At 53.1% G+C, this 23,725-nt stretch overlaps 1 protein-coding gene across 3 annotated transcripts, besides 2 other annotated features; it reads right to left on the reverse strand.

Annotated features, from left to right (window-relative positions):
* Positions 1 to 123: 123 nt before the first annotated feature.
* ARHGAP1 (Rho GTPase activating protein 1) lies at positions 124 to 23,663 on the reverse strand. 3 transcript variants are annotated; one of them, XM_047426933.1, is made up of 13 exons: positions 23,595 to 23,663; positions 19,019 to 19,159; positions 18,704 to 18,799; positions 11,217 to 11,304; positions 5,095 to 5,226; positions 4,337 to 4,423; positions 4,055 to 4,153; positions 3,684 to 3,791; positions 3,531 to 3,607; positions 3,249 to 3,326; positions 2,692 to 2,820; positions 2,409 to 2,512; positions 124 to 2,269 (listed from the first exon to the last, which is right to left on the reverse strand). In XM_047426933.1, the coding sequence occupies exons 2-13, from the start codon at positions 19,149 to 19,151 to the stop codon at positions 2,081 to 2,083; spliced, it is 1,320 nt and encodes a 439-aa protein (XP_047282889.1). In that variant the 5' UTR covers positions 19,152 to 19,159; positions 23,595 to 23,663; the 3' UTR covers positions 124 to 2,080. The 3 variants fall into 3 exon arrangements, with proteins under 3 accessions (XP_047282889.1, NP_004299.1, XP_024304288.1); NM_004308.5 differs by having other exon boundaries at positions 19,019 to 19,200; XM_024448520.2 differs by lacking the exon at positions 5,095 to 5,226 and having other exon boundaries at positions 19,019 to 19,200.
* Positions 17,451 to 17,950: an enhancer, noted in NCBI's record as "H3K4me1 hESC enhancer chr11:46715957-46716456 (GRCh37/hg19 assembly coordinates)". NCBI's record gives its function as "activates a minimal SCP1, AML or CMV promoter by ChIP-STARR-seq in naive H9 embryonic stem cells {active_cell/tissue: H9 hESC(naive)}" and the evidence as "EXISTENCE:reporter gene assay evidence [ECO:0000049][PMID:30033119]".
* Positions 23,419 to 23,538: a silencer, noted in NCBI's record as "silent region_3314". NCBI's record gives its function as "represses an Ori minimal core promoter by ATAC-STARR-seq in GM12878 lymphoblastoid cells {active_cell/tissue: GM12878}" and the evidence as "EXISTENCE:reporter gene assay evidence [ECO:0000049][PMID:35858748]".

Genomic DNA, 23,725 nt, shown 5'->3' on the forward strand with positions numbered 1-23,725 from the left:
CAGACGGACTGGGGAGGGGACTTCCTGAGGCCCCATCTGTTCCTCTTCCTCCACCGCACCACACTTCCCATCCAGTTTCCAACTTCCACACCCAACTCATTTCCCCAACATCCAGATGAGCAGTTTTGCATCAACATTTTTATTGAAATACAAAAAGTGCAAACGGTGAAATACATGATTGGTGCCAAGGAAGTCATTAAGTGTGAATGTGAACACTGGATTCACACAGTACAAGCACCCGCTCCCTGGGGTACAGACCAGTGGGGGACATGAGAAAGACCAAATAGATCCGAAAGGCTCCCCAGTGAATGGGGCTGTGAGCGACACTTGATACACAAAGGAGGGCGGAGAGCAGAGCAGCCCTGGCCGAGGCTAGAGACCAAGGGACTGATGAAGAACCAGCAGCAGCCCAGGCCCCAGGGGGCTGGATGCACTGCTGATGGTCTTGGGAGAGCCCAGCGAAGTTATGCCCAGGCCCAGCCTGGCTTGCGGATGGGGCTGGGCTGGTCAGTGAGGATCCCCACAGTACGGGCTCTGGAATCATCCTGCCTGGCCAAGGTCATGGGGGCAGGGTCACTGCAGGTACTTCCCTGTACTCCCCAAGGACAAGGCTGCAGGAAGAGGGATCCCCAGGAAGGAGTGTAATTCTACGAGACAGTGGGAGTGAGATCAGCCATCACTGGGGCCGAGGTTCTTTGAAAGACAACAGGGCTGGCCGGGTGCAGTGGCTCACGCCTGGAATCCCAGCACTTTGGGAGGCCGAGGTGGGTGGATCATGAGGTCAGGAGATCGAGACCATCCTGGCCAACATGGTGAAACCCCGTCTCTACTAAAAATACAAAAATTAGCTGGGCATGGTGGCATGCACCTATAGTCCCAGCTACTCAGGAGGCTGAGGCAGGAGAATTGCTTGAACCCAGAAGGCGGAGGTGTGCCGAGATCGCGCCACTGCACTCCAGCCTGGTGACAGAGCGAGACTCCATCTCAGAAAAAAAAAAAAAAAGGTGGCCCTAGAGCCCCTTAATCCCCTGGGGAAATTGCTAGAACCCACCTATCTGGACTGACCTATCAGCACAATCTCTGCCCCTCCTACGGGCACTCTTAGTCTCTACCCCAGCCCCTTTAAGAGTCCCCCAGCTGGAGGAAGGAGCCATAAGATCCTGAGGCACTGAGTCACCTCTGGCTGGGGCAGGGGCCAGTGTGACTCCGTAACAGACAGGTCCACAAGAACATGAAGGCTGATGATCTGCCCGTGTGGGAAAGGAGGCCAAGAGGGGAGAGGCTAACCTGGCCGGTCACTGATTCCATCACACGCTGTAGCTCTCGGGGGCGGGGAGGTGGAGAGGGAGGTTTCAAGTGGATGCTGGGACTCTGAGCCATGTCATCCAAGCTACCAGTCCCTGCACAACCAAGGGGTTAGGACACCCCAGGGGCAGTATCACTTGGGAAAGGCTGACCCAGGATGTGTGGAAGAGGAGGCAGAAAGCAGACACAGTCTCCAGCCCTGTCACTCCTCAGCAGGGGAAATACCCCAGACTGCGCTGCTGGGGGCAGTACAGGAGCAAGGGTGCTTGCACTCAGGCCTTCATGCAGTGGGGCTTCTGCAAAGCAGGGCAGCCTACCAGATAGGGAGGCACCTCAGCTTGGGGCGGTGTCCACACCAAAGAGCTCAGCTGCTCATTCCCAGCAATCAAGAGGGGAGGACTGGCCCCTGCTACCAGCCCAGCCGGCAGTCATTTGATTCATCCACACTTGCTAGGGAAACAGAGGCAGGAAAAAGCAGGAAAGGGGTTACTGGGGCTCAGTCCTTCTCCAGCTGGAAGAGCCAAGCCCAGCTCTGGAGAGCCCAGCAAAAGCCCGGTGTCCAGAGAGGCAGTGAGAAGTGTAAGGCAGAGAAAAACGTCTTCTGGTAACAGCGAGGCCGCCAGGGCCGTGAGGCGGGCTGGACAGAGGTGGGGGAGAGCATGCCTGATGGGTGGCTCCAACATCTCTCTCCAGGGGGCTTCATGGCCCCTGATGCCAGGAGGAAGAGTCCAAACCCGGGCTACCAGAGAAGGGGCTGGTGGGGCAGGGGCCAGGTTCAGAGCCCGCTGGGGTCCGGGCTTGGGAACAGCTCCCCTTGGTGATCCAGAAGGAACTTGGTGAAGGTGTTGATGGGATTAATGGCCTTGAGGGTGATGGCCGCATCCTTGGCCCACAGCAGGTTAGGGCCGAAAACAACAGCCAGGTTAGTGTTGGTCATCTTGTTCTGGTCACTGTGTGCAGAAATCTGTGGAGGGAATCAGGGACTGCAGCAGGAAGCCACAGATGCTGCCTCCCACTCCCAGCAACAATGACCAGGGCGCAGAGGAGGCGGCAGCTCCTCCTTCCCCCTCCCTTCACCCCAGAGGCCAAGTCCAAGGTCTCACCTGCACCAGGAAAGCAGTCAGGAAACGAAGCACCTGGTAGTTCTCCTCGGGCAGCGTCTGGAGGACCTGCAGTGTCGCTGGCACCCTCTGGCTTTCATCAATGTCTATGAGGAAAGGAGGCCCGGGTTATAGGGGCCCTAGGCTGGGCTGGTTCAGGACGCTCTGATGCAGGCTAGAGGGGAGACCCCCAGCAGTCTTCCCTGGGAGGCGCCTAGGCCCGAAAGCCTGCAGCGCACCTGCCCCAAGTCCAGCCCCAGGCCCAACAGAAGAGATGGGGACTCACTGAGGAAGCCCACCACATGGGGGTAGAGGTCAAAGGTGAGCAGGGGCTCAGGAAGCTCCCGGAGGAAGGTCTTGAGGATGACTGCTGGCAGGTGCAGCTCATTGTACTGGTCGAAATCCACAGGCAGCCCTGGGGTGGGGGCAGCGTGAGAGAAGCTCGGCACAGCCTGAAGGGCAGCACCCATCTGCAGACAACGCGGGCCGCACTGCCTGACTGCCCCTGGACACTGCATAAGCCCCTCCTCCCAGGGGCGCCCTCTGACACCTGCCTCCCTCTTCCTCTGTGATCAGAGAATGCAGGTTCCGGCCATCTGGGGAAGTGGGGCCCGGCACACCCCACCGTTATTCCTTGCCTCTGAATGTGCCTATACCCAGGACCCGGGAGCCCGACCGATGAGGCAGCAGGCCTGGCAGAAGTAGGACTTATGTGACACCCAGAGCCACGGAAACCTCCAGCAGGAAGAGACTCTGAGACTCTCATTTACAGGGCAGCAGAGGGCAGAGAAGCCCCCTACCAGTAACACACATATGGCCCTGCAACAGCCCAGGGCTGCTCACCCATGTTGTACTTCTGCTGCACTTCCCGGACCACTTGGGTGTTGGCCGACCTCCGGAAGATGCCCTCGGTGGTGAGAGCTGGGAAACAGTAGGGCCTGGTGAGCCTCCGAGCGCTGGGCACCGGCTGGATTCCCTGCCCCTTCTCTGTCTTGGGGTTCTAGGCAGGGCTGGGTGGGGACGTTGAGGCTTGCAGGACCTCCCTCTGCCCTGCCCAGCAGCTTCCCCAGCTTCCTGAAGGGAGCCGGGAGACCTGGCTGGTGAGGAGGCAGGCCCGGCACTCACCGTGGGCCTGTAAGTAGGCAACAGTCTCCCTGAGTACAATGGGAATGGGCTCCTGCTCTGGATTCTTCTCCTGGAGGCTGCGGGAAAAAGGCTGGTGAGCCGGGCCTGCAGCCCTTCCCGCCCCGCCGTGGCCCAGCCACCTTTCATACTTACTGCTGCAGCGAGACTCCAAACTGCTGGTTGGGCAGGGGGGGCCGTGGGGGCATGGGCTTGGGGGCTGTCGCGGGGCTCTTCTGTGTGGATTTCAGGAAGTCGTCATATCTGTAGGAGTAGAGGGAGGTGGGTCAGGTCCTGCCTGGCTCTGGAGTCACTCTGCCAATTCAATCAAGCATTGACCACGCGGGGTCAGGAGGATCATCTCATGCGATCTCTGTAACAACTCCGCTTTCCACAGCAGAAAGCAAAGACCTGGGAGAGGTCGGGACACGGGCTTGCTCTGCCTAAGCCCCACGCGGTCTCTGAATCAGGACACACGTCCTCATTACCCTGGCTTCACGAGCCCCCAGCCGCCGCACCCGCCTCACTTGAGCACTTGGCGAGGGATCCCCAGCTGCTCCAGCTTCACGTGCTCGCTCAGCTCGCTCAGGTAATTCACATAGAAGATCTTCTGCCCGAACTTGAAGCTGTTGGTGGAAGAAAGGGCCTGGGTTGTGGGGGCCCGCTTCCGGTGGCCTCCACTCTCCCCTCAACACCCACCCAGTTCAGACGGAAGCCCAGCCGCACCTGGTGGTCCCCAGGCTGCCCAGCCTCCCAGCTTCAGAGTTCCAGGCAAGCCGGGACCACCAGCCCTGCCCGTGGCCACTCACCTGATGAGGGGCTTGAAGAGGATGAGCAGAGTTTTGATGAACATGGTTGGATGCACGATGTACAAGGCCTTGATGTTTTTCTTGTACCTGCAGAGACAGAATGGACAACTCAGGAGCAGGCGTGGTGGGACAGGTGCCACGCTAGGGTCCCAGTGCATACTTTTTTTTTTTGAGACAGAGTCTCCTTCACCCAGGCTGGAGTGTGATCTCAGCTCATTGCAGCCTCCACCTCCCGGATTCAAGCTATTCTCCTGCCTCAGCCTCCTGAGTAACTAGGATTACAGGCACCCACCACCACACCTAGCTAATTTTTGTATTTTTAGCGGAGACAGGGTTTCACCATGTTGGCCAGGCTGGTCTGGAACTCCTGACCTCAAGTGATCCATCCGCCTCAGCTTCCCAAAGTGCTGGGATTACAGGTGTGAGCCACCACACCCTGCCTCAGTGCATATTTTCTGATTTGAACATGCATGGCCAGCATGCGAGGTAAGGGCCATCACTGTCTCATTTTACAGATTAGAAAACAGGAGGCTCAAAGAGGTTAAGTAAAACAAGAGGTCAGAGTGCAAATAAGCTGAGAAACTGGGCCTTACTTAAGCCCAGGGTGATCTGACTGCAGATTCTTTACATTGACGTAGACGGCAGCCCCCGCCACCCCCTGCCTTGGAATAAGCTCCTGCCCAAGTGGAGGGCAGCCCGGAAGCTGGCAGAGCCGCTGCCTCTGGATCTGACTGTGCAGGCCCCATGCCCCAACCCACTTGCGGTCAAACTCCCGGTAGGCATCACGGAGCCAGCTGAGGGAGGGCTTGTTGTCGCTGGTCAGGCCGTGGTGCAGATACAGAAGTGTGTAGTCACTCTCCACGTACTGGTCCAGGGTGTGCTTCAGGTACCTTCCAGGGAAAAGCCCTGCTCAGGCCTGCCCTGTGCACAGGGGCGGCCCCACGAAGACAGAAAGCAGCCCCAAGAGTCTCCCACCACGTCACAGCCCCTTCCCCACAGGCCCTCCCCTAGCACAGTCTGTTCTGGCTCATAATCAGTCACCAGGTTGCTGTGGAGGAGGCCTAGGGTAGAGGCTGGGCAGAGGAATGAGAATAGTAATAACAGCTCTCAGCCGGGCGCAGTGGCTCATGCCTGTAATCCCAACACTTTGGGAGGCCAAGGCGGGTGGATCACCTGAGGTCAGGAGTTCAAGACCAGCCTGGCCAACATGGTGAAACCCCATCTCTACTAAAAATGCAAAAATTAGCCGAGCATGGTGGTGCAGGCCTGTAATCCCAGCTACTCAGGAGGCTGAGGCAGGAGAATCGCTTGAACCCAGGAGGCGGAGGTTTCAGTGAGCAGAGATTGTGGCACTGTACTCCAGCCTGGGCAACAAGAGTGAAACTCTGTCTCAATAATAGTAATAATAATAACAGTTCTCACTCTTGAGCAGGAACTAGATGTCAGGAGACCAGGACCCTAACCCGGGCCTGCCTAGGCCTGCAGTGAAAAGGGGAATGACGTTTCCCCTGAATCAGGGATTTCTCTGAATCAATAATAATGATGACAGTCACCATTTCTCAATATTAAGTTTTTAGTGTCTGCCAAGCACTTCACATACATTAGCTCATACATTGCTTATAACTGAGGCTGATGTAATCCCCATCCTACAAATGAAGGCAATGACCAGAGAGGTCAAGTGCTGATCCAAGGTCACACAGCTTGTGGTAGATCCTGGAAGTGAAGTGTCTAACACCAAAGCCTGCTTTTTTTTTTTTTTTTTTTTTGAGACAGGGTCTTACTGTCACCCAGGCTGGGGCACCGTAGCGCAATCACAGCTCACCGCAGCCTTGACCTCCCAGGCTTAAGCTATCCTCCTGCCTCAGCCTCCTGAGTAGTAGGAACCGCAGGTGTGAGCCACCACACCCGGCTCTTTTTTCTACTTTTTATTTTGTAGAGACAGGTCTCACTATGTTGCCCAGGCTGGTCTTGAGTTCCTGGCCTCAAGCAATCCTCCCACCTCAGCCTCCCAAAGTGCTGGGAGATTACAGGCATGAGTCACTGCACCTGGCCGAAAGCCTGCATTCTTGACCATGGGACAGCTTTGCCTTCTACACATGAACTCCAGTGCCGGCGGTAAAACACTGTGCCCATGAGAGGGGATGGGGTGGCCAGAGAGTCACCTGCTCCAGTCACTGGGCCTTTAGTGGACCAAAGAGCCCCAATTCCTCTGGTTCCCTATTATGCTCATGACACGCTATCTACCAGCTCAGCACAAACATATACACACCTGGTGTTGAGCACACTGAGAGTTATGGATGGAATGAACAAGAACTGGGGAAAGGGAAGGGAGTGTGTGTAAAGCCCTCTCCTTTTTTTTTTTTTTGAGATGGAGTTTTGCTCTTGTTGCCCAGGCTGGAGTGCAGTGGCATGATCTCGGCTCACCAAAACCTCTGCCTCCCAGATTCAAGTGATTCTCCTGACTCAGCCTCCCAAGTAGCTGGGATTATAGGCATGTGCCACCACGCCCAGCTAATTTTGTATTTTCAGTAGAGATGGGGTTTCTCCATGTTCGTCAGGCTGGTCTCCAACTCCCAACCTCAGGTGATCCGCCTGCCTCGGCCTCCCAAAGTGCTGGGATTACAGGCATGAGCCACTGCGCCCGGCCATAGAGCCCTCTTTCTAGTTGGCCAAACAGCTCCTAGGCTCCCACAGGGACACTACTGCAGGCTGGGAGGCTGGGCAGGCAGAATGCTAAGCACTTCCAAGGGGAGGCAGGGAAGGAGAGAAGCCTGGTGAAGTGGCCAGAGCTTGACCTAACCCAGACAGAGTATGCTCAAGACTGGCCCGTGGGTGCCAGGCTGGGCCAGCACAGGCAGGCATGGGGTGGCTGATGCTGGGATCCCCAGTACATGGTCATTTACCCCTTCTCCACACTGAGCACTGCAGTTTACAAAGAGCTGTCGCATAAAGAGATTGCATTTTGCAACTACAAAAATAGCAAAGATTGTAGTGAAAACAGACACTCTCATCCACTGATGGAGGTTATGGCCTTTTGTAGGGAAATAAAGTGATGTTTATCAGAAGCTATAAAATGCTCATACTCTCTGACCCTGTAAAAATATGTCTAGGAGTTTGTCCTAAGGAAATAATCTGAGATGAACGAAAACATTTTTGTAGAAGGCTGTTCTTCATGGCCCATTTTATGATAGGGAAAAAAAAAATCTAGTGGCAAGCTAACTGCAACAGCAGGGAATTGGTTAAATCAACCACGTGACAACCATAAATAGAATAGCTCACAGGACATTTCTGCAGACAGAATGAATCTGTGAAGTCAGATGTCAGAACAGTGTTTATGCCCTTTGTAGGGTGTGAGTGACATAGATGTGTTCAGTTTTTGAAAATTCACACAGTACGCTTATATTTTATTCACTTTTCTGTCAGCATATTTGATGTCAATAAAATGTTTTTTAGAAGATATCTTTGAAGAATATTTAATGCTCAGAAAAAAATGTTATGTAAGATACAAAACCAGGCTGGGTGTGGTGCCTCACGCCTGTAATCCCAGCAATTTGGGAGGCAGAGACGGGCAGATCACCAGAGGTCAGGAGTTCAAGACCAGCCTGGCCAACATGATGAAACCCTCTCTCTACTAAAAATACAAAAATTAGCTGAGTGTGGTGGTGCACGCCTGTAATCCCAGCTACTCGGGAGGCTGAGGCAGGGGAATCGCTTGAACTCAGGAGGTGGAGGTTGCAGTGAGCCAACATCGTGCCACTGCACTCCAGCCTGGGTGACAGAGCGAGGCTCGGTCTCAAAAAAAAAAAAAAAAAAAGATACCAAACTGACTATAGAGTTCCATATACATTACAGAAAAAATAGGAAATGACTACACAAAAATATTAACAGTAACTTTCTCTCTAGGTGGTGGGTGTGTGGGAGACCTTTTTTTTTTCACAGTTGTCTATATATTTTTTTATTTATGGCTATGTATATTTTTCTAAACTCTCTAAATTGTAATACTTTAAAAATGTACACAATGGATTTCATGTATATTCTTTTTTTTTTTTTTTGAGACAGAGTTTCACTCTTGTTGCCCAGGGTGGAGTGCAATGGCATGATCTTGGCACACTGCAACCTCCGCCTCCTGGGTTCAGGTGATTCTCCAGCCTCAGCCTCCTAAGTAGCTGGGATTACAGGCGCATGCCACTACACATGGCTAATTTTGTATTTTTAGTAGAGACAGGGTTTTGCCATGTTGGTCAGGCTGGTGTTGAACTCCTGACCTCGTGATCCACCCACCTTCGCCTCCCAAAGTGCTGAGATTACAGGCGTGAGCCACCGCGCCAGGTCATATGTTCTTACCTAATGCCCACAACAGCCCTGGGAGGTGGGCACAAGTCTCTTTTTTTTTTTTTTTTTTTTGAGACAGAGTCTTGCTCTGTTGCCCAGGCTGGAGTGCAGTGGCGCAATCTCGGCTGACTGCAACCTCTACCTCCCGGGTTCAAGCAATTCTCTTGCCTCAGCCTCCTGAGTAGCTGGGACTACAGGCACATGCCATCATGCCCAGCTAATTTTTATTTTAGTAGAGATGAGGTTTCACCATGTTGGCCAGGATGGTCTCAATCTCCTGACCTCATGATCCACCTGCCTCAGCCTCCCAAAGTGCTGGGATTACAGGCATGAGCCACCGTACCCGGACTTTTTTTTTTTTTTTTGAGATGGAGTTTCGCTCTGTCACCCAGGCTGCAGTGAAATGGCATGATCTGGGCTCACTGAAATCTCTGCCTCCCGGGTTCAAGTAATTCTTCTGCCTCAGCCTCTTGAGTAGCTGGGATTATCTTGAGTAGCTAGGATTATAGGCATGCACCACCAAGCCTGGCTAATTTTTTTATTTTTAGTAGAGACAGGGTCATGTTGGTCAGGCTGGTCTCGAACTGCTGATCTCGTGATCCACCCACCTTGGCCTCCCAAAGTGCTGGGATTACAGGCATGAGCCGCTGGACGAGGAGCCACAAGAGACTTGTGGCGCCCAGCCACAAGTCTCATTTTTACAGGGCTTGGAAAAGACCTGCCCCAAGGCACGCAGCTAGCAAGAGGTGCAGAGCTGAAGTTGAATGTGTCTTCTGAATTTGATTCCAAGCTTCAGGCACGTTCTTTTTTTTGAGACGGAGTCTCGCTCTGTCGCCCAGGCTGGAGTGCAGTGGTTCAATCTTGGCTCACTGCAAGCTCTGCCTCCCGGGTTCACGCCATTCTGCCTCAGCCTCCTGAGTAGCTGGGACTACAGGCGCCCGCCACCACGCCTGGCTAATCTTTTTTTTGTATTTTTAGTAGAGACGGGGTTTCACCATGTTAGCCAGGATGGTCTCGATCTCCTGACCTCATGATCCTCCCGCCTCGACCTCCCAAAGTGCTAGGATTACAGGCGTGAGCCACCGCGTCCAGCCACTTCAGGCACTTTCTTTTTTTTTTTTTGAGACGGAGTCTCGCTCTGTCGCCCAGGCTAGAGTGCAGTGGCGCTCAGGCACTTTCTATTTCAACCTCCTGGATCTGGGTGGACAGCTGGGAAGAGCCACATCTGAGATAATCTGACTGAAAATGGGACAAAGTGCTCCATGATGGAAGCACCCCACTGCCCTCAGCAGGGACTGTGACTAGGACGGAAGTGATGGAGGACAAGCAGCAGCTGATGTTGAGGACTTCCTGAAGCCAAGGACGCCCTGGGGTGGGTGTGGCCTTCCCTGGCAAGCTGTCTCCTGAAAACCAGGTGCTTTCCACCCACATCCACTGACTTCCTCCCACTTCACTTATTATCTGGGCAGGAGGCTGTCACCTGGTACATCAGACATAGAAAGAACTAGAGAAAAGGCCATGTGCCTCCACCAGCCCCAGGCCAAGCTCTTGCCCATTCTGGCTGGGCCGTGCGGCGGGCTTGGACAAGGCTCTGCCTGCCTTGTCTGAAGAGCAGTGGGAAGAGGGTTCAGAAGGCCAGAGAGATAGAATTCCTAGATGACGCTGGAAGACTCAGCCTGTGGCCCTGGCTTGCCAGGACTGGCTGAGACTCCAAATTCAGGCCCTTCTCCTTCTGCGGCTGCCCTCTGGGTCTGTCCCTAAGCCCACACCTCCTCCTGCTCGCACGCAACCATTCAGGGTCTCAAAGAGCTGCTTGGGACAGTGCCAGGATTTTACATTTCAGAGAGTGCTTCAAACTGGTCAGGAAAGAACTGCATCTTTCTAAAATTTGCCGAGAAAACAGAAAGAAGGGCAAGATGGTCTCACTCTACTACACACCCCGAGGACAGCAGCAGGAAGTGAGTTTGCTCGCCTGTGGGCCCAGAGCTGGCTCAACCATAAATGAGTCTTTCAAGCCTTGGCATTCAACCAGCCTTCAGACATGAATCAGGACATGTCTGGACCGGCCAGAGCTATTACATATGTTTGGCCCCAGAACCCACATCGGTATAGAAACCACTGACACCAAAGGCACAAAATAAGACAACACTAATGAGTCCTATAAACGATAAACAACTGCAACCATCTCAGAAACACCATAGGATTATAACAGTCAATCATCACATCTGGACAAAAGTCCTTCCTTTTCATGTGCTGTTTGTCACTCCTACAAGGAAAGAGGCCTATATTATTATCCCTTTTGAAAGGTGAGGAAAGCGAGGCTTAAAGATGCTTACCAAGGTCACCCAGCTTCAATAACTAGAAACTAGGTCTGACTCCTCGTCCAGTGCTCTCCCCTAAATATAAACCAGCTCCTTCATGAGAAGAGGGAAGGCATTAAGGCAGGTGGCCTAGCACCCACAGGCAGGGAGGGACAGTAAAGAACGTGGCATTAGGCTACAATGGGGATCTGGGCAAAGCCCCAACACACTTCCCAGCAGGTACTCACCCCAGGAGCTTGCTGTGGTCGAGCTGGTGGCTGGGGGGCATTCGACAGGCACTAAACACAATGATCTTCCGCCCATACTTGTCATCTCCTAGGTGTGGAGAAAGATGGAGCACAGTGGGTTGAAGGGGAACCAAAAGAAGTGGGGTGAGGAACTTAAAGGGGCCAGGCCTGCTGATCTGAGCCAGTTACCACAGGGGCCAGAGTGCCCATGCAGACAGACCTCCGGGCAGCCTCCTGCATGCAAGGGTGTGCCACTGAAGACAGGGACAGCTTGCTTTCAGGGCTACTGAGCTGGGGTATTAAAAAAAAAGTGATTTTTTTTTCTTTGAGATGGGGTCTTGTTCTTTCACCCAGTCTGGAATGTAGTGGCGCAATCACGGCTCACTGTAGCCCCAATCTCCTGGGCTCAAGAGATCCTCCTGCTTCAGCCTCCCAAGTAGCCAGGACTATAGGTGAGCACCACCATACCTGGTGAAATTTTAAAATTTTTTGTAGAGACAGATCTCACTATCTTGCCATGGCTGGGTCTTGAGCTCCTGGCCTCCTCCTGCCTCAGCCTCCCAAAGTGCTGGGATTACAGATGTGAGCCACCGCACCCAGCCAACATCACTTTTTAAAAAGTCATGCCGGCCGGGCGCGGTGGCTCACGCCTGTAATCCCAATACTTTGGGAGGCTGAACCAGGGGGATCACCTGAGGTCAGGAGTTACGAGACCAGCCTGGCCAACATGGTGAAAACCCATCTCTACCAAAAATACAAAAATTAGCTGGGTGTGGTGGTGCACACCTATAGTCCCAGCTACTGGGGAGGCTGAGGCAGGAAAATTGCTTGAACCTGGGAGGCGGAGGTTGCAGTGAGCTGAGCTGGTGCCACTGTACTCCAGCCTGGGTGACAGAGCAAGAGTGTCTCAAAAAAAAAAAAAAAAAAGTTATGCCTGGTGCAGACAACCCAAATGTCCATCAGCGGATAAAAGATGTAGTTAATCCATGCAATGGAATACTGTTTGGCCATAAAAAGGAATGAAGTACTGATACATGCTACAATGTGGATGAACCTCCGAAACATTATGCCAAGTGAAAGCCAGTCACAAAAGGCCACCAAGTCTATGATTCCAGTTACATGAGATGTCTAGATAGGTACATGCATAGAGACAGGAAGCAAATTAGTGGTTTCCAGGTACTGGGAGGAGTGGGGAATGGGGACAGACTGCTTAGTGGGTACAGCATTTGGTATGGGTATGGGTGGTGAAAATGTTTTGGGATTAGATGGAGGTGATAATTTTATGACATTATGCACTAAATATTATACCACTGAATTGTACACTGCAAACTGATGAATTTTGTTATGTGATTCTTATCTCAAATTATTATTACTATTATTTTTTTTTAGATGGAGTCTCACTCTGTCACCCAGGCTAGAGTGCAGTGGCACAGTCTTGTCTCACTGCAACCTCCACCTCCCAGGTTCAAGCGATTCTCCTGCCTCAGCTTCCCGAGTAGCTGGGATTACAGGCGCCTGCCACCATGCCTGGCTAATATTTGTATTTTTAGTAGAGACAGAGTTTCACCATGTTGGCCAAGCTGGTCTCGAACTCCTGACGTCACGATCCACCTGCCTTGGCCTCCCAAAGCGCTGGGATTACAGGCATGAGCCACCACGCCCGGCTCTTACCTCAATTTTTAAAAAATGCTCACTAAAGCATTTGTGATCTTGCCAAATAGTCATCTTATAAGTCTACACTTTTCCAAAAGCACCCCCGCTGAGCAGTGTGTATTTGGAAAGCCTCTTGAAGTTACCTTCTCAGCATGTTTCAGCCACTGAGGAAATCAGTCTGATTACTTAACAGTCATGTCTCATTTCTGACCACTGACAATCGCTTTCTGATTTTATTACTAGAATTTTTTTTAAGAGATGGGGGTCTCGGCCAGGCACAGTGGCTCACGCCTGTAGTCCCAACACTTTGGGAGGCCGAGGTGGGCGGATCATGAGGTCAGGAGATCGAGACCATCCTGGCTAACATGGTGAAACCCCGTCTTTACTAAAAACACACACACAAAAAAAAAAATTAGCCAGGTGTGGTGGCGGGCACCTGTAGTCCCAGCTACTCGGGAGGCTGAGGCAGGAGAATGGCATGAACCCAGGAGACGGAGCTTGCAGTGAGCCGAGATCGCCCCACTGCACTCCAGCCTGGGTGATAAAGCGAGACTCCGTCTCAAAAAAAAAAAGACAAAATTAAAGAAAAGAGATGGGGGTCTCAATGTGTTGCCCAGGCTGTTCTTGAACTCCTGGCTTTAGGTGATCCTCTCACCTCAGCTTCCCAAGCAGCTGAGACTACAGGTGTGCACCACTGCACCCAGCTTATTACTAGAATTATGGACGACACTGGTTCTGATTGACTTCTGTAGGTTTCTAAGCATTCTATCCTTTCTCATTAAGATATTCTAGGGCCCCCACCAACCCTTAAGACTCAATGCAGGCATAATCGCCGCCTGGAATCCTGTGTCCTCGCCCTCTCTCCCCAGACAGGTTAGCTGCCCCTTTTCATGGCTCCCAGCATAAACCGTCACCCATCACTGTCCTGACCCTTCACTCTCCTGTAGAATTGTTTATGTACCTGTCTCCCTGACAGGCTTGTGAGCAGCTCAAAGACAGAGGCTGTGTCTCATTGTCTTTGTTTGTTCTTTTTCTTTGTTTACTCCTGGCAAGCTGTGATTTTTTTTTTTTTAAGAGACAGGGTCTTGCTCTGTCACCCAGGCTGAAGTGCAGTGGCATAACTGTAGCTCACTGCAGCCTTGAACTCCTGGGCTCAAACAATCCTCCTGCTTTAGCCTCCCATGTCCTGAGTAGCTAGGACTACAGGCACATGCCATCCCACCTGCTTAATTAAAAACAATTTTTTGAGACAGAATCTTGTTATGTTGCCCAGGCTAGTCTTGAACTCCTGCCTCAGCTTTCCAGTAGCTGGGATTACAGTTGCGTACCATGGCACCTACAGTCTCCAGTACTGGTCCAGTGTCTGGCATGTGGCAGGTATTCAATACGTTTTGGTAGCCTGCACAAAATCGCAGGTCACCATTAAACTATGGGATGCCTGGTTCTAGTTATATTTCTGTGTTTGTTCTTCTTTTTTTTCTGAGATGGAGTCTCTATCATCCAGGCTGGAGTGCTGTGGAGTGATCTGGGCTCACTGCAACCACCACCTCCTAAGTTCAAGAGATTCTCCTGCCTCAGCCTCCCAAGTAGCAGGGACTACAGGCAGGTGCCAGCACACCAGGCTAATTTTTTTTTTTTTTTTTTTGAGATGGAGTTTTGCTCGTTACCCAGGCTGGAGTGCAATGGCGCGATCTCGGCTCACTGCAACCTTTGCGTCCCGGGTTCAAGTGATTCTCCTGCCCCAGCATCCTGAGTAGCTAGGACTACAGGCATGTCCCACCACACCCAGCTAATTTTTGTATTTTTAGTAGAGACGGGGTTTCACCATGTTTGTCAGGCTGGTCTCAAACTCCCGACCTCAGGTGATCTGCTCGCCTCAGCCTCCCAAAATGCTATGATTACAGGTGTGAGCCACCATGCCCAGCCTTAATTTTTGTATTTTAGTAGAGACAGGGTTTCACCATGTTAGCCAGGCTGGTCTCCAACTCCTGACCTCAGATGATCTGCACGCCTCAGCCTCCCAAAGTATTGGGATTATAGGCATGAGCCACAGCACCTGGCCTCTGTGTTTGTTCTTGATTATGCTTTGGTTATGGGTCAGACTGCTTCAGATAGTGAGTTTCCCAAAGCTCAGGACAGAACGTCTCCAGATTTGCAAGTAGAGAATCCTCTACCAGCTTGTCTGCAGAGGAGGTGCAGCTCCATCCCGGCAGGTCTGTTTTGAAGGACCAGGTGGTACCTGCTCTCTTTCGTACCCTAGCCTAGATCCTGAGGTGCTGAGATCCCGGAGGCCAGCTGGGGGTGGCTCTGGGGCTATGTGCCTGCTCTGATTCACTTCCCACTGGCTCTGACAGTGGAAGGAAAAGCAGACTGGCAGGGGCCAGGGACAAAGGGTTAGACTGGCAAGCCCAGTCTCACTAGTCTGGAGCTTCAGAAACCCCAGAGATGCCTACCACCAGCCTGGGAAGAGGGGGCCTCATCTGCCTACCTCCTTCTAAGCGAGGAAATAACCAGGATTTGGGGGAAATGCTCGAGGACAATGGGGGCTACCAAAAGGATCTTTCCTTCCAGCCCATGAGTCCCCGCACCTCACATCTGCACCAGCAGCAAGGCAGGCCTCATTGGCTGGCAGATTTGAGGATTCAGCCAGGGCAGAAAGTCTGTGAGGCCCCTGGGTCTAAAATATAAGAGGTAGCAACTGGTTAGGGAAGCTGTTGGGGGGAGGGCTGGAGGCCTGTGGTGTCTCCTCTCAGCTGGCCACAGCACTTTGTAAGTGGGAAGCTTTGGGTTCTGAACCAGGGCTCCACCAATGTGCTCAGCAGACACAGCACCTCCATGATGTTATATGACAAATATTACAAGCATGTGCACTTTTTTTTTTTGAGACAGTCTCGCTCTGTCGCTCAGGCTGAAGTGAAGTGGCGTGATCTCAGCTCACTGCAACCTCTACCTCCTGGGTTCAAACGATTCTCCTGCCTCAGCCTCCTGAGTAGCTGGGATTACAGGCATGCACCACCACACCCAGCTAATTTTTTTTTTTTTTTTGAGACGGCGTCTCGCTCTGTTGCCCAGGCTGGAGTGCAGTGGCACGATCTCCGCTCACTGCAAGCTCCGCCTCCCGGGTTCACGCTATTCTCCTGCCTCAGGCTCCTGAGTAGCTGGGACTACAGGCGCCCGCCACCACGCCCAGAAAATTTTTTGTATTTTTAGTAGAGACGGGGTTTCACTGTGTTAGCCAGGATGGTCTCGATCTCCTGACCTCATGATCCGCCCGCCTCGGCCTCCCAAAATGCTGGGATTATAGGGATGAGCCACCGCGCCTGGCCTTAACCCCAGCTAATTTTGTATTTTTAGTAGAGACGGGGTTTCTCCGTGTTCATCAGGCTGGTCTCGAACTCCTGACCTCGTGATCCACCAGCCTTGGCTTCCCAAAGTGCTGGGATTACTAGGTGTGAGCCACCGCACCTGGCTGCACTTTTTTTTTTTTTCAGTCAAAGAGATCCCCCCTATCCTGGGGATACCTTTCATAGTTGCAAAGTGGACTGTGACCAGTTTTAAGAACCACTTCACTAGACTGTAATCTTTTTTTTTTTTCTTTGAGCCAGGATCTTGCTCTATCACCCAGGCTGGAGTGCAGTGGTTCAATCATAGCTCACTGCAGCCTCCAACTCCTGGACTGAAAGGATCCTCCCACCTCAGCCTCCCAAGTAGCTAGGACTACAGGCACAGGCTACCACACCTGGCTAATTTATTGTTATTATTTTTGTAGAGACAGGGTTTCACTATGTTGCCCAGGCTGGTCCTAACTCCAGGGTGGCCCTGGAGTTAATCACCAACAGGTCTCCCCAGGCATTCTGGGCCCCCTCAAACCAGCCCCACCCACAACCGGACCAGCAGGCCTGGGACCTGGGAGGTAGGGCTGGGCTGATGGAGCCAGTCATGTGCTACAGCCAGCTCACACATTTGTTAAGCTGTTCAACTGTCAGGAATTTTGCAAGCCAGTTGACATCATGTTGGTAGCTAGAGAGCTGGGAGGCAGAAACTGCAAATGCTACAAATCATGGCCTTTTTCCCCCTCTCCAGAGAGCCATTTACCAGCACACCACTGGAAAGAACCCACTGGGACTGAGCCAAATCTGACCCTGGGGCATGACAACTATTCCCGGCAGGGAGAGCTGAGGCTATAACCCACCCTCCCTTCCTACAAGGGCTTCTCCCGGACATCTCCACGGTCTCACCAAATGAGTGCCTGGTGATGCCAATCCAGCCTCCTCTCAGCAATCAGGGAGGCACATCCATGGGGACACCATCACCCAGAAGGTCCCTGAGCCACCACTCAGAGGCCATTGCCCAAGGCCAGACCCTCCCGCAAGCTCCTTTCCCTTTGGGGCCTGGGTGTGTCCCCACACAGCCTCCCCCACCCCCATCCTACCTCCCATAAATCTTCTGCTATTTCCGACTCCCAGGCACCACCAACTCCCAGCTCCCCAGGGTGAGACTGCAATTAAGCTAGCCCCATCTGGCCTCCACCGAGAGCCCTTCCTGATCCACAGCCCCAGAGGTTGCAGTCCAAAGAGGACAAGCACAGCGAGCCAGGACGGACACCTACCTGGCTGGGCCCCCTCAGGCTCATCGTAGTCTAGGGAAATAGAAACAAATTGCAGCTCTGTGCGGGGGTTGTGGGGAAGGAGGTGTCACCCACGGAGGTGGGGAGGGGCAGGCTCCCCCAGCTCTGCCTTGACCAAACAGGCCAGGATGATGTCAGGACAGAGACTCCTTCACATCAGGTACCCCCCAGACTCCAGTCAAGTTCAGAACCTTCAAGGTGACTTTCCCGTGCCCAATTCAGGACCAGACTGGGGAAAAAACTCTCAGCTTTGCTTCTGCAGGGGGTGAATGAGGCCAGAGCCAAGGCCCTCAACCCAGATCAGGGCAGGCGCCAAGAATACAAACGCCATGGAAACACCTTTGACGTTCGGGGCAATCCTCTCAACTGCCCCCTCCCTTTCCAAGCCCAGCACCCCCATAGCCAGACAGGCTTCTTCCAGGGCCGGTGTCTGCCAGGTTCTCCTTGCCCACGCCAATGCCTCAGAGCAGGGCCATGCTGCCACCCTGCTTATGAATGCCTGGCCTCACCAGCAAGGATGGACAAATGTTAGGGAAAAGATAAAGGATCCTAGATTCCAGCTGCTCCTTCTAAAGTGGGGCCCTAAGGGCAGCAACCACCTCATCAGCCTGACTCCCTGGCTCCTGGTTTCTTCTGGGTCCCCCCTTATGAACAGGAGGGAGGGAGCTCCCTGAGACAGAGACCTAAGCGGGGCTCTGTACCCACTCTCAGCAGGGCAGCATATCTGCCAGGAATCTGGTGCTCCAGGGAGCCATGTGCCCCCTCCCCATTTTTGGAAAGAGGCTCTGCCCATTCCAGACTTCCCTAGGGCTACAATTTCCCAGGAAGGACTGGCACTCCTCATCCTCCCCAGTAACTGATAGGGTGGAAAAGCCAACATTAGGGTGGAGGGGTAGGAGGGCAATAGAACGAGGGGAAGGGAAGGCTACTTATTCAAGGCCAACTGTGTTCTGGCTCTGGGCTAGGCCCTGACATGCATTCATTATTGTAACCCACAAGGAAGAAATTAGAGTTCAAAGAGCAGAGCTGGAGATCAAACCCAGGGCTTTCTGACTTCAAAGCCACTAGGCCACATGGCTCCCCACATGCCAGGAGCACCAGGGCCAGCGGTCAGACTGCAGAGAGGCCCTTCCCCTGTGGTGTGAAGGGCTGACTTCCTGAGGCCAGGAGCTCTGAGGGTTAGGAAAATAGTGTTGGGTGTGCTTACCTGCCACCTCCACGATCTGGTGCCGGGCGATGTCATAGTATGGGTCATCCCACTTCAGGTGTGTGACAAGTTCCGGGGAGCTGCTTTTGGAGTCATCTGAGGAACACAGCAGGGTCAGGGGACAAGCCAGGGGGCTGGCACCATGCTCTGCCCCACAGGCATGCTGTCTGGCCCTTCCCCCAGTAAGGCCCATGCTCCCAGCCCAAACCTGGGACTGGTCTGCCCCATCCTGCCCTCCTGGCGTCTCCCTTCAGCAGAAGGAGTGCTTCCCCCTCTAAAGCGCCTGTAGCTGCCTGAGACCAGACACAAGCCCACCTGACTTGGGGAAGTCAGGCATTTCATCCGAGGGCCAGTTCTTCTCATCGATGGAGGCCAGCTTCAGCTGGTTCAGAGCCTCGCTGGTGTCATCCAAGGTCAGATCATCCTGCAGCTCTGAGAGCGGATCCATGGCCAAGCCTGTCCCAGACAGCCTTGCCCTGCAGAACCTTAAGAGAAACCTGGGAGAGAGGAAGACAGGTGGCAGGTCAGTGACCTGCTCTTTTCACCTTCTGCGACCTCCACCGCGTGCCCTCCTGCCCCCACCATTCCCTCTCCCAGGCTCCCTGTCCCTATTCCTCAACACTCCTCATCCCCGCCAAGAGCTCCACGTAGCTCTGGGTTCTCCTGGCTCCGTGGCTCAGGCGTGTTGCCAGAAAAGGCAGCTGGGGCAGAGGATGGCACAGCTCAGCGCCTCCCTCCAGGCCCTGCAGCTGGGGAGGGAAGAGCTGTGCCAGGTCCTGTGCCGCCCGCCACCCAGCTGGCTCAGTGATGCAGTCCCAGCTGTAGAGGGCAGAGGTCCACGCCCCTCGCCTCAGGAGACCTGGACACAGAAGCCTCCCAGGCTCTAGCAGTTACAGGGGTAGAAATGTTGTAAGAATCTAAGGAACATGCTGGGCACCGTGGCTCACGCCTGTAATCCCAGCACTTTGGGAGGCCGAGGCAGGCGGATCACCTGAGGTCAGGAGTTCAAGACTAGCCTGGCCAGCATGGTGAAACCCCATCTCTACTAAAAATACAAAAACTAGCTGGGCGTGGTGGCAGGCATCTGTAATCCCAGCTACTCAGGAAGCTGAGGCAGGAGAATCACTTGAACCCAGGAGGCGGAGGTTGCAGTGAGCCGAGATTGTGCCATTGCACTTCCAGCCTAGGCGACAGGGCAAGACTCCATCCCAAAAAAATAAAAATAAAAAAATAAAAGCTATGGCTGAGGGGCCCAGCTGGGCTTGCTCCAGGACAGGAACTAGCAGCAGGGGATGTGGAATCGCCTGCCAGTCATTGCAGACAGTCTGCAGGCTCCTAGGGGCGTCCAAGCCCACTCTTACTCTGCAGGGTGCTCCTGACACCAGTTTCAAGGTGGAAAGGTTGACGGCCCTAAGGATTGGAGGGCGCAGATGGGAAAGGGGGATGCTCGTGATGTCTGGGGTGCTGAGATGAGGAGGTCACCAGCAGAACAGCAGCTCCGGCAGGCACAAGGCAGACTCGACCACCAAGCTGGGTTTCTGTAGGTCTGGAATCTGGCCAGAAGGCTGCAGCCGCATGCAGCCTGGGGGTAGGCACCTCTGCCCTCAGCCCTAATGGGCAGCAACTCCCCCTCCTGCCACAAGCTCCCCACATGAGGGAGGGCAGTTTTTAGTTCAACCTATTCAGTCTAACCCCAGGGAAGAGGCTGCTCCATGTCCAGCTGCATTCCTGGAGCCCCAAAACTGACATATATGGTCAGAGAATCAGCAGGGCAGATAAGGAGAGCAGACAAGCCCTGGGGGTGGGCAGGAAGAAGAGGGGGAGAGCTGCCATCCCAGAGCCACAGACTCTGGGCTCTGAGGCCACTTGACAACCTCCTGCACACATCACATCACAGCCAAGGGCCCTGGATGGTGAGCCCTCTCCCTGTGCCTAGCAACAGCCACCCTATCACCAGGGCAACCACACGGATTGAGTGGTAACGCTGTTTCATGCTCCCAAGCCAAAGCCAACCAGCGAAAACAGCCCAAAAAAACCCTCTTCTTCCTCTCCCTGTCCCCTGTCCTCATCCACTACCCCTGGTTACCACCAAAATATAATCCCTTCCCAAGAACACAGAGAAGAATGATCCCTCACGGTCAGGAATGCATTTCTCTGAGTGATGCCAAAGCCCAGCTCCCTCACTCCCCTTCAGCCTTCAACCCTTCAACCCTTCAACCCTTCAATATCTACATGTGCTTCCTGCCATCCAGCCAGGAGGCTGTGGGAGCTGCTCCCCATAGCGACCTCCAGCTGGGTAATAAAGACAGAATCCAGCTCAAAGCAACCCCCTCCAGGCCAGAGCCTTCTCTCTACCCTTTCTATTCAGCCTGTCACTGCCCAGGGACCAGGGGCTCCTTCAGCCCCACCTACAGCTATCCCAGAGACATCTTTCTGCACAAAGTAGGTGCTGATGCCATGAAATGATGAGGTAGTATGGAGAGCTGGATTATCATCCTGCCTAAGCCAGTGAGCTGCAAAGATGCTGAGCAAGTCCTTTTCCTACTTGGGCCTAAATTTCCTCCTCTGTAGAGGCAATGGCGCCTCCCAGAAATATAATTCTCCAGTGTTCAGAAATACTTTGTGCTGCAGTGAACAACAGGATTAGAAGGAGCAGCCGGGGCCGGGCACGGTGGCTCATGCCTGTAATCCTAGCACTTTGGGAGCCCAAGGTGGGTGGGTCACCAGAGGTCAGGAGTTCAAGACCAGCCTTGCCAACATGGTGAAACCCCATCTCTACTAAAAGTACAAAAAAAAAAAATAGCCAGGCATGGTGGTGGGTGCCTGTAATCCCAGCTACTCAGGTGGCTGAGGCAGGAGAATCACTTGAACCCAGGGGGTGGAGGTTGCAGTGAGCTGAGATCAAGCTACTTCACTCCAGCCTGGGCAAAAGAGCAAAACTCTGTTTCAAAAAAAAAAAAAAAAGGAGCAGCTGGGAGCTGGGGTGGATGTGAAGGAGGGAGAAGGACACCATCTAAAAGGGAGCTGAACTTGAACTTCACCTCTTTTCCAGTGACTGCTCTTCTATGCTGTCAGTTCTTCCAGACATGACCTCCCTCAACGCCCCCACATAACCTCCTTTCCCAGCATAACTAAGCCCAGTGGTTCCCATCTCCCAGTCAGACTGGCCCCTCCCACTACCCCCAACCCACAGTTTAACTTCTGAGCCTGGAAGTTAAACTCCCATTCAGTGGGAGGGTGAGGAAGCTAGCACAGGGAAATTCTAACATCAAGTAGTAGAAATGAAGTATCCTGCCTGTTTAAGACACCAGCCACCCACAAGCCTGCTCTACTCTGTGCAAAATACACCCAACTCTGAGATTAATTTTTCCATTCTCAGCAGGTAAACCTTTACAAAAATCTTAAGGATCACCTTAGGCAATCACTTTTAGGAAGTTGTAGACTTTTCTGAAATTGGTAACATGTGTGGACTTTTTCCCTAAGAAAACTTAGGAGATGTATGCAATTTTAAGAGGTTCATACACCTTCTGAGAATCACTGTTTAAGAACTTCTGGTCTATTCAGAATGACACCTGATATATAGTAGATGCTATCATTTGTTGAATGAATGAACCAATTAATTCATCTCCTAAGTAAAGAAGGGAACCCACACTTGTTGAGGGCCTATATAGGACCATGAACTGGGGACACAAACTCAACCTCACGATAGCACTGATGAGGCATGTTCTACTAAGCTCATTTTACAGTGAGGAAAGAGAGGACCAGCCGGGCACGGTGGTTCACGGCTGTAATCCCAGCACTTTGGGAGGCCGAGGCGGGCGGATCACAAGGTCAGGATTTGGAGACCAACCTGGCCAAGATGGTGAAACCCCATCTCTACTAAAAATACAAAAATTAGCCGGGTGTGGTGGCGCGCGCCTGTACTCCCAGCTACCTGGGAGGCTGAGGCAGAAGAATCGCTTGAACCCGGGAGGCGGAGGTTGCAGTGAGCCGAGATCACGCCACTGCACTCCAGCCTGGGCGACAGAGTGAGACTCCGTCTAAAAAAAAAAAAAGAAAAGAAATCATATTCTCAACGTTGGAATCGGCCTCCCAGTTGCAAATCCCACCACAATACAACAGCAATTACAACTCTCAACTACAATTATGTTTGCATAGAGCTTCACGGTTTACAAAGCCCAGGTTACGTTTTGCAATTATCCTGTTTCACAGATTAAGAAGTTGAACTGAGGCCGGGCGCAGTGGCTCACGTCTATAATCCCAGCACTTTGGGAGGCGGGGGCGGGAGGATCACGAGGTCAGGAGTTCGAGACCAGCCTGGCCAACATGGTGAAACCCTGTCTCTACTAAAAATACAAAAATTAGCCGGGCGTGGTGGCGGACGCCTGTAATCCCAGCTACTCAGGAGGCTGAGGCAGGAGAATCGCTTGAATCCGGGAGGCGGAGGTTGCAGTGAACCGAGACTCCAGCCTGGGCAATAAGAGTGAAACTCCGTCTTAAAAAAATAAATAAGTTGAACTGAAAGCGTGGCCTAATAAGTGGCAAGGAGGAACACTTCCCCCAAATTTCTTCTTCTTAGTGCTTTGCCAGATCAGATCTGGGAGATTTCCCCCTCCCGCCGGCTTGCTGGATGACAGCGATCCGGCCTGGACTCTGCCCTGGGGAAGGCAGGAAGAAGGTAGTGAAAATGATTAAGTCCTCTTATTGCAGGCGCCAAAATGGGGCAGAAACCCTGCAGGAAGGCCAGGCCTCTGAGCCCAGTTCCACCCCCGTTCCCCTCCTCGGATCTGCTCCGGTCCTCCCCATCCGGACCCCATCCCTTCGGACGACCTGGCCAGCTCCTTTCCTTTCCCCATCCCCACCCGGGGAGACCCCGCGCCCAGCAGCTCACCGCGCTCGGGCACTGCTCCCTCTGCCACGCCTGTCAAGGCTCGGCAAACATCCGGCTCCGCGGTGGAACGGGAACCGCCCCCTCCCGCTCTCTTCTATCCCCAACCATTTCCGCCACACCTCCAACCCACT

This window comes from Homo sapiens, chromosome 11 (genome assembly GCF_000001405.40).
Source record: "Homo sapiens chromosome 11, GRCh38.p14 Primary Assembly".
NCBI classification, from domain to species: Eukaryota; Metazoa; Chordata; class Mammalia; order Primates; family Hominidae; genus Homo; species Homo sapiens.